Here is a 1,256-nt window from a genome sequence, read left to right on the forward strand (position 1 = left end):
GCCGACCCTCCTCTTTTTTCTATTTGTTTTTTCTCTTTTTATCATTATCAAAAGCCCATTGTCCCATACTTTCTCCTTCCTAATTTCATTCAAAACCTTTCCTCTTAGGAAAAGAATGTTTAAAATTATTCACTCCACGGTGTGAATAATTGTTCATCCCAAGGTTATCTCTCCTAGCAGCCTTTGCATTTGCATTGAAGGAAAACCTTCATTTAAATGACTAGATTTCTAATTATGGGATGTTAGGCATTAGCCAAGGAGGCATTTAGTAGCTATGGAAGCTTCCAGTTGAGGTCATTCTGAGAAATTCTTTGTTATCACTGCCTGCCTTGTTTATGTCTAGCCCTATTCGGAAGAAACTCTCTTTGTGTTCAAGTACTGACACTTTCCCCATATCCATTTCAAGAGATAAACTTGAAACTAAGATGATAGTGAAATAATAGGGTAGGAATTAGGCTTATATGTTGCTGTGGTTTATGTTACTTTCAAAATTCATGGTGAAATTAATTGTCGGCTGGGCGTGGTGGGTCACATCTGTAATCCCAGAACTTTGGGAGGTCAAGGCAGGCTGATGACTTGAGCCCAGGAGTTTGAGACCAGCTGGGAAACATGGCAAAAACCCATCCCTAAAAAAAAGACAAAAATTAGCAGGGTGTGGTAGCACACACCTGTAGTCCCAGCTACTTGGAAAGCTGAGGTAGGAGGATTACTTGAGCCTGGGAGGTCAAGGCTGCAGTGAGCCGAGATCACACTACTGCACTCCAGCCTGGACAACATGAGACCCTGTCTCAAAAAATGAAAGAAAGAAGGAAAGAAAAAAAGAAAAAAAGAAAAAGAAAGAAGGAAGGAAGGAAGGAAAGAAAAGGAAAAGGAAGGAAGGAAGGAAGGTGGAAGCTTCCATTTAAAATAAATATTTTTTAAAATGAAATTTAATTAGCATTATAACAGTATTAAGAGGTCAGACCTTTAAGAGGTGATTAGAATCCTCTCCTTGTCTTTGGTTTTTAAGAGGTTGATTACCACATGTCTTGAGGTAGACTTATTTGGGTTGGATCTGGTTAGTGATATTTTACCTTCCTGTAAGATATTTGTATCTTTCTCTAAATTTGGGAAGCTTTCTGTTATCTCTTTGAAGAAGCTTTCTACTCCTTTGGCATTTTCAAGAACCTCTTGAACCCCAACAACCTACATGGTACTGGCATAAAAACAAATAGACCAATGGAGCAAAACAGAAAGTCCAGAAATAAACTCATGCA

Source organism: Homo sapiens, chromosome 1 (assembly GCF_000001405.40).
Source record: "Homo sapiens chromosome 1, GRCh38.p14 Primary Assembly".
In the NCBI taxonomy this organism is placed as follows: Eukaryota; Metazoa; Chordata; class Mammalia; order Primates; family Hominidae; genus Homo; species Homo sapiens.